Raw genomic sequence first — 18,123 nt, forward strand, 5'->3', positions numbered from 1 at the left:
TGGAACAAAGAACATTTCCATAACTACATAGCAATAATGGAACAAAAATGGCAACTTACAGACAAACTACAAGATTTCAATTTAAGGAATGAAGCAGTTAAGCCTAGTTGATATAATATCCTTTACTTCTGTTTTACCACAACTCTTAGAAAACATCTGCATTATCTGTTTGCCAACCTGTGTAGTTTAAATGATGCCAAAACCCATCAAACCATCAGAGAATCTTGCTCTCTCTTTTAACAGAAAATAAAAAAATGCTAACATGGTTGTGTGTCCAGAATTGGTGGGTTCTTGGTCTCACTGACTTCAAGAATGAAGCCTCGGACCCTAGCGCTGAGTGTTATAGTTCTTAAAGGCAGTGTGGACCCAAAGAGTGAGCAGCAGCAAGATTTATTGCAAACAGCAAAAGAACAAGGCTTCCACAACACGCAAGAGGACCCCAGCAGGTGGCCAGGGCTGGCTCGGGCAGCCTGCTTTTATTCTCTTATCTGGCCCCACCCACATCCTGCTGATCGGTCCATTTTACAGAGAGCCGATTGGTCTGTTTTTCAGAGAGCTGACTGGTCCGTTTTGAGAGGGTGCTGATTGGTACGTTTACAATCCCTGAGCTAGACACAAACGTTCTCCACCTCCCCACTAGATAAGCTAGATACAGAGTGCTGATTGGTGTATTTACAAACCCTGAGCTAGATACAGAGTGCTGATTGGTGTATTCACAATCCCTTAGGTAGACATAAAGGTTCTCCAAGTCCGCACCAGATCAGCTAGACACAGAGCGCAGATTGGTGCATTTACAAACCTTGAGCTAGATAGAGTGCCGATTGGTGTATTCACAATCCCTTAGCTAGACATAAAGATTCTCCAAGTCCCCACCAGATTAGTTAGATACAGAGTGCAGATTGGTGCATCCACAAACCCTGAGCTAGACACAAGGTGCTGATTGCTGTGTTTACAATCCCTTGGCTAGACATAAAGGTTCTCCAAGTCCCCACCAAACTCAGGAGCCCAGCTGGCTTCACCCAGCGTATCCCACACGGGGCGGCAGATGGAGCTGCCTGCCAGTCCGGCGCCATGCCCTTGCGCGGTGGATGAGACTGGGTGCCGCGGAGCAGGGGGCCGCACAGGAGCCCGTGGCGGGGGGACACTGGGGAGGGGAGGCTCAGGCATGGCGGACTGCAGGTTCCGAGCCCTGCCCCGCAGGGAGGCAGCTAAAGCCCAGTGAGAAATCGAGCGCAGTGCCGGTGGGCCGGCACTGATGGGGGACCCTGCGCACTCTCTGCATCTGCTGGCCCTGGTGCTAAGCCCATCACTGCCGGGGCCCACAGGGCCGGCCGGCCGCTGCAAGTGCAGGGCCCACCAAGCCCACGCTCACCAGGAACTCTAGGTGGCCTGCAAGCGCCGCACGCAGCCCCGGTTCCCGCCCGTGCCTCTCCCTCCACACCCCCCGCAGGCTGAGGGAACCGGCTCTGGCCTTGGCCATCCCAGGAAGGGGCTCCCACAGTGCAGTGGCAGGCTGAAGGGCTCCTCAAGCGTGGCTGAATGGGCGCCGAGGCCGAGGAGGCACCGAGAGCGAGGGAGGGCTGCTAGCACGCTGTCACCTTTTAGTTGCCTTACAGTAACTGTAAAAATTCTGATATTTAAAAAATCCAAGTCATTGATAAAGTAAGAACAAGTGAGAAGTCTGATAATATATCATTTCTTTCCATCTCCTTGGACACAATTTCTCAGAAGCTAAGCTTAGAATTTTAGGAAGACACATTCAATATACTACTTAATAAAAAAGTTCATTATGTTTCATCATTTGGAATAACCTCAAATTCCCAGCAAAATTGAACACTGTGAAAAAAGATAATTAAACAGGAAAAGTCAGAGTTTTAGACACTTGTTTAATTTACTCAGCTACTGTATTTGTGGCTTCAGATTTCTCAGAGTAAGATTTATTACAGAAAGTTAGTATTAGTAAACATTTAATGATTTCCAATGGAAACCAAACATTTATATATTGAAATAAATATTCATCTATGCATGTAAGTATATTTTGGCTAAAAACCACCAGAAAAAAAATGCTTTGACCTAGAAGTTTAAGGAGGGATGTTGATTTATTCAACAACTATTTATTAAGCACCTTCTGTGTGTCACACCCTGATTATTACGTCTTTTGTTAGACTCTACTCAAAATTGGTTATTTAAACAATAATTCAGATATTCCATATGGTTTATCAGTTTCCACAAGACTTATATTTTCACTATTTTACTTTTAGAGGAAGGAAAAAAATTAGTCAAACATTTCCCATATCTATACATTTAATGAGAACATGGGCAAGTCTTCTTTTAACAAACTTTTTCTCCCAAATGATTCTTAAGTATTCTAATGTTCTAATGGTCCATAATAATTTACTTAATTTGCTAATAAAGTTTCTCTAGTAAAGTTAGAAAATAATTAGTGCTTACTAACGAGTATTATTGATTCAAAACTTTAGTGAAAACAAAATATGGTTATTATAAGATAAATTATAATTTATCATATAAATTATAAATTCTATGGTTATTATAAGAAAATTTTTTTTATGTGTTACTATGTTTAAATACCCATAAGATAGTCTTGTGTGTATATGTGTTTGTGTGGGTCAGCAGAAATAGCAGACTGTGACATCGACTGATACAGTTAGGATCAATCATGTAAGTAATAACATTTAGTTATGAAGAATAGGCTATGCTATGTTTAAAGATGCATCTAATGATCTTTGTATATTTTACTTTATGTTTCCCAGACTTTATAAAGGAAGGTGCATAGCTTGTAGACAGCAGTCCCCAAGTGTAGTTTTTACTCTGCCACTAACGAGCATTGTGATCTTGAGCAAACCAGTTGGTCTCTTCAAGGTTCCATTTTGTTGTTTGATAAATGAAGGACGTGGAATAGAAGAACGTTGAAGTTCCTTCCCTCCTTCAAATGTAATGATCATGTAAGGTAGATTGCTTTAATTACATGATACTTTGAAAAATTAAATTAAACAAATATTAAAAAATCATTAAATTAACCAACACTTCAGTACCAACCCTGCAATCTCTAAATAATAGAGTGACTTAAATAAATAATAAATTACTGATGACTTGAATTAAAAATAAACTAATCTTAGATTAAGCTACACTAAAGGTTTGGAATTTAGGGTAATAATATGACTTCCTGAGCCCTGAAATATTTTACCAGATTTCATGGATGAAAACAGAGTTAAGGTTTAGATCTAATACTCATAAGCTCTTCCAGACAAATTGCATGATCACGAGAAAAGATTTACACCATCTCTATGGAGTCTTAGAGCATTTCTCTCTTTCTCTCAGATCCTCTTATCCCTAAAGGATCTCTTTATCTTACCACTCCAGACCACCATTTTCTATTTTCCTTAAACTTAACAGTAATCAAACTCGGCATTTTGAAAGTTAATACATTTTATCTGACATGTTCAGGTTTTCTGGATCCTCCTTATCTCCCAATCAGACTAATCTGTTGGCAAACATGAATAATAATGTCTTTGACTTCTTTGTTCCTTCCTACAACTGGTTTCCATTTCATTGGTACCTAATGCTGTCTGGTGACACACAGCAGCATTAGAACATTGAATAATTGCTGGTTAAAAGAGAGAGAGGGGGAGAGGCAGAGAAGAATGAGAGAGAGAGAGAGAGAGAGAGAGAGAGCGAGCCGAAAATGCGGGCATGTCTCTCCTTCTATTAAGTTGTTCATTAGCTTTTACAGTGTATTTTGCATTCATCTTGTTTATTTTCTCACATTCTACTTTAGTACTTTATCTTTTGATACCTGGATTGGTTAGTAGTTTCCTAAATAGTTTGTCTGTCTCTATCATTTCCTGCTAATCCTTCCTAAATGAATGCATGCTTGAAAAGACCTAAATCTAATTTGCTACTGATTTCACAATCTTACTGCACCACTCACTTCAAAATGGTCTCTTCTTCCTTGGAACGAGTTTTCCTTTTATATCTTATTCAGAAATTAGCCAAATATGATATGATAACTCTAGCACTTTCTCACATTTTATATTTCTAATCTTGAACTTTTTTTTGCCTATCTCTGTAACCAGACTGTAAATTTAGTATGTTACTTTTATGTAGTATATATCCTTTAAATATTTGTTGATTTAATATGTTAACTTGAGTATAAAACGAACATTTGACCTTGTGTAGAGTGTAAAAGAAATCTTTTGACACACTGTGATAGGAAAACAAATTCAAAAGTTTATTATCAAAGATAACTGTGATTTATCTGAAGCAATCTTTAGTCAGGGTAAGCAAGATGATGTTAGGCTTTGTGAATTAATGTTATGAGAAAGAAAGTCTATTTTTGTGGAGAGAGAAAATTTTCCCGCATAACTGTAATTAGGGACAAATCAGAGATTAATGATGCATTATATTCTAGAGCTTTAACTGATAAGCACCAAGAAATGGCTTTCTCAACTTTAAATGGTTTGTAAAATATTATCTCTGTACTTTGCTCTCTATATAGAAAATAATGGATACTAGGTCTTCTATTCAGAAAATTCAATATTTATTCTAAAATGTAAACTGTTGAGTTACAGGAAGATTTCATATACTCAAAAAGAGCATAAAATCTACCTCTACTAATTAGTTTCTCTATGAAAGCCTTCCAGGCAATTACAGAGCAGTACCATTGGTCAATGCTTTGGTTGCTTTTCATTAAAGGTATAGTGTTGCTACCAGATGAATTGCTTCATATAAAAGCACTTACCACAAAGACCTATAATGGAGGTTAAGTGCTATACTAATTACTAATTTCAATCCTTATTACCTATATTTTGCAGTACAGGCACTTTAAAGGAACCATATATAGTCTGCTGGTTCCCGCTTCTCTGAGTATAAGACTTGGTGGTAAAAGCTCTAATTTAGCTGTTCTTCTAATAAAAATAACCCCAAAAATTAATAAAAAGAGCCATACCACAAACTGACATAAAATACATATACTAGACTTTGCTACTGAACTCGTATTTACAATCACCGTGTCACAAAAACTTTAATCAAGGTGACACACTCTTCAAAATTTGTATTCAGCCATTATGGCACCGTTGCAGATGAAGTTCCAAGAGAAAAAGGTATTTGAAATTTTCATGGCTTATTTCCTACCTCAGCATCACACTGAAATGAACACAGAGCAGATGATTAATAAAACATCTGATGACAATGGTGACTCCCCTGAGTTCTTTATATATTGATCATTAACTTTTTATATGTATATATTGAAATTCTTCATATGTGCTTTATTTTCTTGAGGGCCGACTCTGTGTTTTACCTTGCGTATATCCTTCAGAATAATTGCAACTTTGCCCACTCTTGGTTTATTTATATTTTCTAAAATACATCTTGGTAAAAGGGCATTTAAAATCTCTGATTAAATGTTGAAAGTTGTATCTGAAATAACTATATGTAAAGATTTGCTTCTTATTACGATACTGCTCATTTCTATTTTTAAACATCTTTTACATTGTGTTTCTTATTCTGAACAATTATTTAATTGGCAAATAAGGTACTATATGTGTTAAACAAATATTAATCTAGAAAAATATGTACAAATATTTTTTTCAAATAATTAATAAGTACTGCCTCAATCTCAGCTACCAGATTCAAATTGGACATTAGTCTGCTACAAGAACACAGGAACCATATCTTTTTTGAACTATATTCAGTACATGGCATCTGGTATGTGCACAGTCAAATAAAATATAGTAAAATTGGGGCATATAGACATTTTTGAAAACATAAAATATTTACTAAAATGCAATGATGTTTGGCTAATATATCCTATATTTATTTTCTATCATCTATGCTTGGGTAAAGCATCCTGTATTTCTCTTTTACAGATACATTATGCATATTAATAAAGTCCAAGTATAGATATTTTAACTTAGCTTAACCCAGAATTTCCCAAACTAATGGGACTTTCCCTTTCTCACCATAAGTAGTAATAAGCTCTAGGTAAAGATACCAGTTTGGAAATTGCTGATTAAGTGTTAAAAGTTACTAAATAAAGACATTTTCAAGAATTAACTATGAACACAAAACCATGCCTCAAGAGGCAAATGCCACACTGCAATAGTAACAGGATTTATCATTTTGCACGTTCAGGTCCACTGTTCACAGCTGACAACATCCCATGAGCAAAGCCTAGACCTTACCCTACTATATATTTTCATGGCATCCAGTGTGATGACTTTCTCTCAGCAAATAGGCAGTGATTAATCCATATTTTAGGAAAATTACCAATACACCTTTCTGTTATTTTATTAAGGTTTTAGCTATTACTTTTAAAAGCACATTTTTTAGGCTGGGCATGGTGGCTCATGCCTGTAATCCCAGCACTTTGGGAGGCCGAGGCAGGAAGATCACTTAAGGTCAGGTGTTCAAGACCAGCCTGAGCAACATAGCGAGACCCCCATCTCTACAAAAAAATTTTAAAAATTAGCCAGGCATGGTGGTGTGCACCTGTAGTCCTAGCTACTAGAGAGGCCAAGGAAGGAGGATCCTGTGAGCCCAGGAGTTTGAGGTTACAGTGAGCTATGACTGCCACTACATCCAGTCTGGGCAAAAGAGTGAGACCTTGCTTCAAAAAAAAAAAAAAAGTTAAATTGATAAAGAATAAAAATTGAAATTGCACATTTATACTAGGATTTCAGATAATGCAATAATCTGGGATTAGCAGGGGCTATGTAACATTGCATGCATATTAAGTTACTTGGCTTTCAAATCTTCCATTACTTCACCTTATTGTATATGGTTCACATAATTGTAGTGTAAAATTGTGGTAATTCCCAAGACATCGATTCAGCAAATATTTACTGAATGCCTACTATTTGCCAGTATTATAACAGGCACTGGACATATTAATTTCCTTGCTTCCTAACTTTGTCATAGAGCAGTTTTTTTATTACATTTAATTCAGCAAATATTGGCAGAGTACTAGGCTTGTGGAATAGGTTTGAACTAGGGCTTGAAGATTTAGAATTCTATAAACCAGAAAAGGTCCAGAAGGGTATTATAGACATTTCATTCCACAATTGTGAGTCAGTACTTGGGATATTTGATATCAATTGAATACATTGGTTATGTCATTAAATTACTTCTTTCAAGAACCAAATAAGTGTGATAGAAGAATTTAAATATAAATTTTGATTATTATTTTTATTGGGTAAAATAGAAATGTATTTTTATACTTTTTCTTTATACTGTGTTATAAATTGTGTGCTTTGCAAAAAACATAGTTATATCTAAAAGGGGAAGAGAGAAATGAGACTGATGCTTTTAGTAATAGAGACGATAATGATTGCAGTAAAATATCTTTATACTTTTAATTTATATATTACTTAAAAAGCATATTTGTTTTAAAATTGAGGATATATACAACCACAAGTAACATTGTTTAAAATTTCTAATCTACCACCTTTGTTTCAATAACATAATATTGATAAAACTCATTCACAATAAACAAGATAATTTTTATTTTATCAATAACGGCTTGACATTTATTTTATAGACTTAAAATGAGTAGTGCTAGTGTCAAAGAATCCTCATGAAACTCTATGGTTATATGAAAGTGAAAACAAACTTCTTTTATGTACATGTTCTTATAACTGCTGATTTATGCTACTATTGTTTTCTCACTAGTTCTCTACTTATCTCACGGGATCCCTACACTTTAATGTGTTTCAGCTGTGCACTACCATCTGAGGAAGCGTTAGGTCTTATTTTCTCTCAGAAAAAAAAAGTGTTATAATATTCTTTCCCTTAGTTTTAAATTTTAACTTTTTTACTTTTGACAAAGCCTTTCCTTTGTTTAAATGCAAGGATCCAGTAAAAAGAGCTTTGATATGTTGTGCTTTTTATGTGTGCATTTTTCTGATTTCATTGATGTCCTGAATTTTGAAAACGATAATGTACACCTTCACGTTCTCCTATAAAATGGCATTTGTACACTGTAGCAAGAACAGTTTAGGACAGCATTACATTCACATGACTCTAAAGTCCAATAAATAGTTGATGGTTTCTCAGAAAACCACAATTTGGTGAAACGGATGCAAAACAGTGCTTTTTCTTCCAGTTTGTTTTTCATAAAATCTTCCCCCGATACATATTCACTTGCTTACCTGCAGGGTAGCGCTCGATCACTGGCCAGCTGTCCACCTGCAACGTGGCATTGCCACCACTCCTCGTGAAACGAACTACATGGTATTTCCCATCATTAATGATTGCATTGGATTCTTCAATGGCGATGTCATCTGTCCCAACATTAAACTTAACTCCAATTTTTCCCTGGTGCTGTAAGAGAGGAGGGGAAAAAAGAGTTGAATTAAGTTGACTAGTCACCATTTAATAAAGATTACATACAAGGTATTGTTTTAAAATGTGCTTTGGACAACAGCTGCTTTCCTCCAATTTTACTTCTGAAAAACTACATGTAGTAGAAGCAAGATTCTTGACATCTGGGTAAATTTAAGACATCTCTTTCATGGATAATTGATATTCCAAAAGGCACACTTTCAAGGGAATTGAGCCGCCTTCTTCCCAGAGGTTGTCACAGAGAAGGCGCACAGCTGCCTGCACAAAGGACATCCTTTTGTGTACTTTAACACAACCCCTTTAATCCACTCTCCCCATTTCACAAGAAAAACGGGGCTCCAAATTCTTACTTTTAATAACTGGTGAAATCAGAGCAATGATGTCTGTTTAGAGCCCATTGACAAATACTCACAATAGGGGAAATCATTCTAAAGGGTATGGGGCATTTAATGAGTGCAGTCCCTTAGTCAGTATTCACAAAACCATCAAATACTAACAGCTTGAAAGTTATTCAATGTTTTTATTTTATTGATGATGAAACATCAACATTTTATTGATGATAACACAGGAAGGTACAAGACTTGTTCAAGGACACATAATAGAGACGTACGAAAACTAAAATTCATTTCCCTTATTCTTAGATTATATCTAAGCTAAGTTGAAGCAAAGATACCGTTATCCAAAATGAACGCCCTCTTCACTTCTTCATATGCAAAGCCTCATTATGAATCATTCTAACTATAAAGTTGTTGCTGTTAACTTTAGAATTTCATAATATAAGGTGGCAAAGAGAAACATGTGCTATGTCCTCTGCCTCTGAGAAGCATTCTTTAACAGGACTGTCAACTCTACCATGAAATCAGTTGATTTCTAAAGCATGTGGATTTGTCCTTAATCAGTTGCACAGAATACCTGTGCTGTAGGCCCTTGTCAGAACACATAACCTCAAACTGTCTGTGGTTCACCCTTCTTCAAACCTCAGTTGAGAGAAATCACACGGAGGAAGAAGGGTTTAAAGTACACACAGTCCATCCTTTCCTGTAGAAGTTTTAAATCAGAATGTTAGAAACCTGAAGATTTGGGCCACATTCTCTTGACTCTTTGTGGGGTTCTCATCATTATTTGAACTAGGCAGCAGGAGTATGGAATCAGCTTACACTAAGAATCCTTACGGAAAATCTTTTTCAAAATTGTATTAATCAAAGGAAAATATTTGAGGATGTTATTTTGCAGTATTGCTCATTATCTCCTTCATGTAGAGATCCTAAAGGTTTCTGTTGGTTTTCTTCCCCCTGGGTTCTTATTGTACATAAAGATCTCTTTCTTATAAGTTAGCATGCTTACAATTTTTTTTGGTTTGATTAGCTTTAGGCTTGACGGATGGTTTAACTTTTTTAAAAAATCACATTTTAACACTATATACATGTTTGTTAAATAAAGATAACTTATTATGTCTCTTAAATGAGATTCTTTAAAATTTTTCTGTAGAGTTATATCACATGTGTTAAAAATGTATGTACTAAATTAATTACTGAAAATGAGCAAAAAGTAATTCTGTTAAAATAAGAAAATAATGCATGCTTACAAAAAGGTCTGAGCTAAAAAAAAATCTTTAAAAAAATCTCCATAAGTCTTTGAATAACGTTTGAATTTTCATTGGACTTTTGCTGTTTGTTTATTAGCTGAGTCAGTCTACACAATACTAAAATGCCTTACAATGACATGTATTTAAAAGTAAGGGTCATGAGAAATATGGTGGAAAATAATAAGTCCAGGGGAAAATATATACTAAAGTCTCTGCAGCTATTAAAATTACCCAGCCAGAAGTGATGGCACACATGTATAATCCCAGCAGTTTGGGAGGCCAAGGTGAAGAGGATTGTTCAAGCCCAGGAGTTGGAGACCAGCCTGGGAAACATAGCAAGATCTCGTCTTTACTATTAAAAAAAAAGAAAAAGAAAAAAAAAAGAAAATCTGGGCATGGTGGCACACACCTGTATTCCCAACTACTCAGGAGGCTGAGGTGGGAAGATCACTTGAGCCCCGGAGGCTGAGGCTGCAGTGAGCCATGACTGTGCACTGAACTCCTGCCTGGTTGACAGCGTAAGACCCTGTCTCAAAATAAATAAATATTTTAAAAATTACCCTATCTACATGGACCCTGAGTTTCCTAACAACCAAACACATACGTAGGGCTCTATACATTTTATAAATACTAACTCTGGTATTCTTCATAACAGTTCCATGAGGGAGATGCTATTTTATCTTCATTTTACAGATGAGAAAATTAAGGCACAGGGTGATTAAGCAATTTGGCTAAGGTCGCACAGCTGGAAAGAGAAAAGCTATGGTTCAGATCCACACAGTTAGGCTCCAGAGTCTGGTCCTTAATCATTACACCAGGCTGAGTTTAGGACTGTTGTGCCATCCTATAGCTGTAGCTAGCAGATTTGGTAAATCTAGCTGTTTTTACTACCTGTTTTATCTCTCCTGCTAGAATAGCATCACTAAGGGGCCTTGTATTGTTCTTTGAAGTTAGTAGACATGTATCAATCAATGTATGTTTAAAATAATTTTGGAATAAATTGTAAGCAACTGATATGTGGATATAATAGAATATTAAAATGATTCTTTTTGTTTCAGTTTCAGCTGAGATGTTAACATGATAACATAATAAGTCAAAAACACATTACTGTTTCCATCTTACAAAATGAAGCATAAAGTTACTTAAGCCAGTCTTGCAAAGGAGAACACTGAGAACTGCTTTTAGGGTCCTGAATTAATTACCTACTTCTAGTCCATCAAAATGCAGAAAAAGGCAAGAGGAGACTGACAATTAGAAGAGGATTTTTGGAGACAGTTGAGATGTGATGTGATTTCCACATACTGCAGGGTGGAAGTCTGCTTTTCCCTATCTCAAGTGCAGGAGAAAGGGACATTAGTGGAACATCTAAGAAAATTTGATATGTGTCTTCTGGGACTTGGTGGGTGGCAGCGGTCAAGGTAGTGAGCAAACTAGTATTTGACTATAACTGAGAAATCTTCAAGGGAAGAGACTGTGGCTTGCTGATGCCCAGTGGCCAAGCAAAGAGATATTGATGTACCAGGAGCCACTTGTGCATTAGGGTTTGTTAGGACAAAGGACACTTGTGGACCCTAGGTTAGAGTCTGTGTAGAATTGTATTGTATCCTGTTTAGCAGGGTTACTAAAGGGATTGGGCTGAGTGGTGAAGAAAACTGAGAAAAGAAAAGAAAAAAAAAAAAAGAACTTGGAATTGCAGTGATAGATGACCAGATGGTGAGGTGGGAATCCTAAATGACCATCTGAAGGAAGTGCATTTACTACCTCAATGGAATTGCAGGTAAATTCTAATAATGGGGTTAAGGTCTGTAAAGAACCAAATGCTTCCGAAAAGTGCCTCCTTAAGAACTTTAAGTATAGGCTAAGCTCAACTAGATGGCTACAATAATACTAGCCAAGTAAGGTCATTTCTGCCCTTTATGTCTTCTTTCTTCTGCTTCATCCCTGGAGGAATAAGAGAGGGAGAGGAATAGTGAAAGCCATGGAAACAATCGTGCTCCTCCCAGTGCAAGTGGGGGCTCCACTGTGGCTGAAGCAGGGATAATGAAGAGGCTTTAACTGACTTCTGCTATTACAGAGGAGTAAGCTGATTTTACTTTTTATGTCTAAAAGTGAACGGATGACCTTTTTACTATCCAAGAGGGAGCAAAGCACTGTTGAGACTCCCTGTGGACTTCCCTGGTGGTTAGAAAGAAATATTTTTACAGAACAAGTTTAATTCCTGTTACACCTTGGGAAGTACTTTCAACACAACAAGTACAGGAAGATATCTGTTACTCTAGGGTTGCCCATTGTTTTAGGGTCTCGTCTATTATAGACCTGGTTCTTATCCAGGATACACTGGAAAAAATTCTTGCAGTTTCCTACTTATTATGAAACTTATTATGGAAGTAGGCCATAAGAGCCTATTTTCATCAGAGTATTAATTATTAAGAAGGTCTAGATTCAGTGAATAGAAGCATTGCAATGTTAAAGGTGAAAAATGCACTAAACTCTGAAATAAGTCCCTTTAACTTAACCTTAAAACTTTCTGCAATATGAAATGCAAAATGCTCATTTTCTAGGTGCAGAAATCTCCAGATTTCATAGGATTTGGTTTTTTTGCAACACAATAAAATAAACAATTTAGAAACAATGAGCATCCGTGATGCTTGGAGAACATCCGACTTTTTTTTTTTTTAATTTTATATATATATTTTTTTATTATACTTTAATTTCTAGGGTACATGTGCACAACGTGCAGGTTTGTTACATATGTATACATGTGCCATGTTGGTGTGCTGCACCCATTAACTCGTCATTGACATTAGGTGTATCTCCTAACGCTATCCCTCCCCCCTCCCCCCACCCCACAACAGGCCCCGGTGTGTGATGTTCCCCTTCCTGTGTCCAAGTGTTCTCATATCATTTGACTTTTAAATGACGCCCATCTCTTCTTGGAGATGTTCAGTTGTTGCCTCAACTTCAAATGTCTTTGACATCTCATGGATTTAAACTCTAGAGTTAGCTAGAATGGAACTGAAGGCTATCAAAATAAGGGTTCAAACAACAGGCCCGACCCTAATTCAGACATTATCTACTTCACCCCAAGTTGCATCAGGCTTTGAAAAACAGTTTAATTATAAATGATCGCCAAAGAGTTTTCCCTGAAAACAATAAATTTAAAATACACATAAAGCACAAAATACTAATAACAAGCATATTTATAAGACCGGTATTTACTATTTAATTCAGAAACTATAGATATTCTTACAACACAACCATCTCATGTTTATAGGATAGCAAGTCATTTAAATTATATAAGCAATAAAACGTGCTAAACTTTCTTGCCAATGCGTAATTACAATTTAAAAGAATTCATTTCAAACTCTTATTCTCTGGGATTAAATATGATTGTCTTGGCAAATTCTCATGAATATTGCATTAGCAAAACCAGAAGTCATTTCACTGGACATGTCTTTATCTCCCTGTACATGTCTTGATCTCCCTGTACTGTATATTCCTTGAAATAGATAACTGGCTCAAATCATAATTTCAAAAATCTCTTATAAGAATATCAGTAACGAGGCATTTATAATTTAATGAAGACTTTCCATGGATTCATTAAATAAACAGTGACAATGGTAATTATTGATTTTTTTACAAAAGCTCATTTCTGAATAAAGATTATATTATTAAACCAAGTTAAAGGGAAACATCATGAAATATGACACTGGGAAGGTCCCTGAAATTTCTAGCAAGTGGCACCATAGTTTAATGCACTGTCTAATTCCATATGAAATAACATATGCACTTGTAAGTTTTATGTTTTAACTAAGATTAAGATTTAATGGTGTAATCAATATCTTGGGTATACTTCAAGCAAGATGTCTGCATGTTACAGATGCATATATAATATGTGCCTATGAAATGGATAAAGCAGAATACACGTAAGTAAAGATTTCGGTCTACATGTGGCATACAGACATGTTACATAAGATTTTAGTGCACTGTTTCCCCTCACCCCATTCTTGGATTGTTATATAGAAATGTTTGGCTCAACTATGCTCAGGAACAGAGACCAGTAACAAATAAAAATGTCTCTCTCTGTGTCTGTTTACTATACTCCTAGAGAGAAGGACCAAACATTGTGAGCAAGTGTGCAACTCAGGAGGGCATGTAGATTAGCAGGGAGCCCTGTTTACGTTCTGTAAACTTCTGTCATGCACCATAGTACAGTCCAGTACTCCAGGGCCCCACTTTGGACAGAACTCAACAATGTCTTTAAATGCTCTCTCTATGCTTGTACTCATTTCAGAATACAGAAAGACTCCCATAGTCCAAATCTACATTGTTGATTGAAACCAGAGTTGGGTGAATGGAATGTTTTGCTTCTCCAGAGACTAATCCTCACCAGGGAGCAAAGGTTTTAAGGCATGAAGGGGAGTCTGGAGCCTATAGTCACAGTTGTTGGACTATGCAACACTGCAGACAGTATCAGAGAGCCATCTGTTATCTCACCTAAAAACAAACACACTCAGATAATTGCTAATTTAGCCCAAACACTTTTTTTTTTTTTTGAGATGGAGTTTCACTCTTATTGCCCAGGCTGGAGTGCAATGGCACGATCTCAGCTCTCTGCAACCTTTGCTTCCTTTGTTCAAGTGATTCTCCTGCCTCAGCCTCCGAAGTAGCTGGGATTACAGGTGCATGCCACCACGCCCAGCTAATAATGTATTTTTGGTAGAGGCAGGGTTTTTCCATGTTGGTCAGGCTGGTCTCGAAATCCTGACCTCAGGTGATCTGCCCACCTTGGCCTCTCAGACTGCTGGGATTACACGTGTGAGCCACTGCCCCCAGCCACCCAAATACATTTCTAAGTGAATTACTTAGAGGCCCTCTTGGCTGGTAGAGACTCTGTTTACCAATTTAGATGGCCTATAATGGTAAGAAGTGGTTTTAATCTAGTTGTTTTAACCTGGCACTGAGATATACATGCCATCCTCTAACCCCCAAAAAGCAACACCACCACATCAAAAACAAGAAGTTCCTGCTGCCCTGTCTCCTATTTTCTCCATTAAATAGCGTCTGTTTAAAATTCATTCAGGTAACTAATAAAAAGTATGTAATATGCACCCAGCATTTTCCTACTACTGGGAGGAGAATAAAAACAGGTAAAGTCTGTTTTCTGCTCCTGGGAAAACTTTCAATCAAATTGGGAAGGTAAATCGTGCATGCAAATACTCATACCCACAAAAGAGTTGAGGGAGTGGTGGGGAAAAGCACAGGTGCATTGGGGGAAGCATCTGAAGGATCTCTGGAAGCCTCAAACTGCCATGGGAGCAAACCAGCATTTGGACAGCTCTAACACTACCAGCAGGTTCTAATGCAACTCCCAGGGACATAGAAGTTATGTTCTGTCTACCTTCTATCTCTCCTTTCAGGCCCCACATACCAGACTACTCACTATGTGCCAGGTATTGAGCTCTATACAATGTATCTCATCTAAAACTCCCAGCAGACCTGAAAGGTAAGTGCCATTGTCTCTATCTCCTTGGAAACTTTAATCTTGCTGAAATCACACAGCCAATAATTATGGGTACTGAAATATGACCAATTTGGTGGGGCATTCTAAAACTGAATAATGTCAGTTGTGTCAGTGTTCCAGGAAAATGTCTTGAAACTAAGGCACCCTTAGAGGATGAGTCAAGAGGAGGGTTACTACAGGGTGCATGGTTTTGTTTTTGGTTTTAGTTTTTTTTTTTTTTTTTTTTTTTTTTTTTTTTTTTTTTTTTTTTTTTTTTTTGGCTAGTTACATTTTGTAGCACTACACAATAAGGAATCAGAAGTGGGCAAGATATGTGGGCAATACCACCTCAGAAACATCTCATTTAGGAGTAATACATTTTTAAAAAACAGCCTTTTCATTTCCCCATCAAATCTTCATTAAGGATAGTGTATCTTTTCTAATATGTCTCCATCCTACAGGATGCTGTAGCTCCTTCAATGAGACTATATTCTGGCAGCGATATTAACTTCCTGGAGGCTTAAATTCATCTCTTGGTCCTAAGAATGTCTAATAAAATTTTCTAAGCCTGTGCCAGTCCTCCTCCACACACTGCCTTAGGTGTTAGTTTTTATATGCCCATTTCAACCCCTCAAACCTATTAAAAACAACTTTAGGGTAGGAAAAAAGCCTGGTGTATTCCTCATTGTATCCTTCACCACACTTCCCAGAATACCTTTCTTTACTTTTGCAAATTTCCAATATTCTTTCACATCAATTTTCTTTTTTTTAATTGAGATATAATTCACATATCATAACATTTGCCCTTTTAAAGTATATGGTTCAGTGGTTTTAGTATATTCACAAGGTTGTGCAACCATCACCATTATTTAATTTCAGAACATTTGCATCATGCTCCAATTTTCTTTTGATGAGATAATGCATACAAAATTCTTAGCACATTTAATGGCTACATAGTTCCTGTTAGCTATTAGCATTATTATTATTATTGCTACAATTATTGTTGTTATTCATCACTTTGAAAAACAATGTTTAGCTTCACCGTAGTTTGATGGAAGTTAATTAAAATATTGCTTCAATTATATAGACATTTCGGTTTTGCTAGAGGATACATTTTTAATGATTACAACTTGTGAAGCAGGGTATCTATTTTGTAAATGGGAAAGCTAAAGCTCAGAAAGGCTGAGACTTGGCCAAAGTCAGAGCATCTATCTATGACTTGGATCAAGAGAGGATATTCTAAAATCTACCTGTGCTCAACTGTAAGATAAGTGGTTCTCCCGTTGATTATGCTGAGGCAGAGCATGCTTGATTAGACAACATCCATGTCCCCTCCCATCTCAATATTATGGTTCTAGGGAAATCCTAAATGTAAGGCAAAGCAGTTCTCACGGAAAAAATTTAGATATTACTAGTTGAGTTTTTTGAAACACATTGAAGGTGCCTAAGTTTGAATTTGAGTCTCTCTTAGATTTCCTTCAAAATTTAAAAAAATAGAAAAACTCTAAGATTTTATTGTGTTTTTAAATCAGAGATTCTCCAATTTAGGAGGAGAAAGAGGACTTTGCATTAGGTTGAAGTATCAGTAATCTGTGAAGCCTTTTGTGAACCATGTATGTTTCTTCCCAAGAAAGTATAATCTCTGATGGAAGCGCTTGCCATTATTGGGAAGAGCCCCTGCCTTGTCAGGTATGTAGGATTTAGTGGTCGTAAAGTGAGAAAAAGGATGGACAGATCTTGAGCTCCAGTGATAACATCAAAACACTTCAGTGCTTCTATTTCCTCATTGTCTCTCCTTAGATGAAATTAAATAAAAAATCAAAACAATGTCAAGATGAATTTAGTCCACTAAGTGACTGGCTGCTGGATCTTTGAATGGGGTAATAATCTTGATATCGGTATTTTAAGATATTCTCAATTTTGTTTCACTAATAAAGCCAATACTGGATTATTCTTTACACAGTATTTGAGAAGACATTCTCAAACCATTATGAAGTTCTCCAGTGTGGCCATGGGTACAGACATATCATCAAGCCTTTTCGTGATACTTCCCCCTTCCAAATAGCATACGTTTGCAGATATCACGATAGCTGTAGAATAAAATAAAGCTACCTTAGCCTCTTGTGAATCAGAGTCATCTCATTGAGATAATTAATTCTGTATCTCCATCCACTGAGACAACAACTACTATGAAGTTGAAATAGTTGCCTTTAAATGTGTCCTTATGTGTAAAGAATGTCTTTTATTATTTTTCTCCCTGAATAATCAATGAGCAGAAATCAAATAGAACAAGAAAGAGGCATTGACTTGGTGGCCTATGGAACCTTCTTAATTTTTCACAGGTAATACTTTCCATTTGGATAGTTAGCCTAGTGGTCTGGCATCATAACAAATACTTTAGGTTGCTGTATGAAAATCTCAGCGTCACACTGAATTAAGTTAAGCCTTTTCCAAAGTGTAATGAGCTGATCAGATGTGTATTACTTGTTTTTGTTCATTTTTTTATATTTAAAAATTATTGTTGCTTTAAAGACCCTTGTTGGAATGTTAAATTACTTTTTCTTGTACAGTCACATTGTACAGTAATTCAGGAAACTATGGGCAATACATTGTGTTTCAGGTGCTGATTAAAACCACAATCTTTGTTTATTCTGCATCTGCCTGAATCCTTGTCTTT

At 36.6% G+C, this 18,123-nt stretch overlaps 1 protein-coding gene across 19 annotated transcripts in view, besides 2 other annotated features; it reads right to left on the minus strand.

Annotated features, from left to right (window-relative positions):
- The window catches only part of NRXN1 (neurexin 1), a 1,113,630-nt gene that overhangs the window by 164,655 nt on the left and 930,852 nt on the right, over window positions 1–18,123 (minus strand). For all 19 annotated transcript variants that reach the window (NM_001330096.2, NM_001330087.2, NM_001330083.2 and 16 more), the window contains one exon: window positions 8,166–8,337. In NM_001330096.2, the coding sequence (NP_001317025.1) occupies window positions 8,166–8,337 (172 nt within the window). The remainder of the gene's footprint in view (window positions 1–8,165; window positions 8,338–18,123) is intronic.
- Window positions 976–1,489: an enhancer, noted in NCBI's record as "H3K27ac-H3K4me1 hESC enhancer chr2:50311271-50311784 (GRCh37/hg19 assembly coordinates)". NCBI's record gives its function as "activates a minimal SCP1, AML or CMV promoter by ChIP-STARR-seq in primed H9 embryonic stem cells {active_cell/tissue: H9 hESC(primed)}" and the evidence as "EXISTENCE:reporter gene assay evidence [ECO:0000049][PMID:30033119]".
- Window positions 1,490–2,002: an enhancer, noted in NCBI's record as "H3K27ac-H3K4me1 hESC enhancer chr2:50311785-50312297 (GRCh37/hg19 assembly coordinates)". NCBI's record gives its function as "activates a minimal SCP1, AML or CMV promoter by ChIP-STARR-seq in primed H9 embryonic stem cells {active_cell/tissue: H9 hESC(primed)}" and the evidence as "EXISTENCE:reporter gene assay evidence [ECO:0000049][PMID:30033119]".

The sequence above is a fragment of the Homo sapiens genome, chromosome 2 (genome assembly GCF_000001405.40).
Source record: "Homo sapiens chromosome 2, GRCh38.p14 Primary Assembly".
Taxonomy (NCBI): domain Eukaryota; kingdom Metazoa; phylum Chordata; class Mammalia; order Primates; family Hominidae; genus Homo; species Homo sapiens.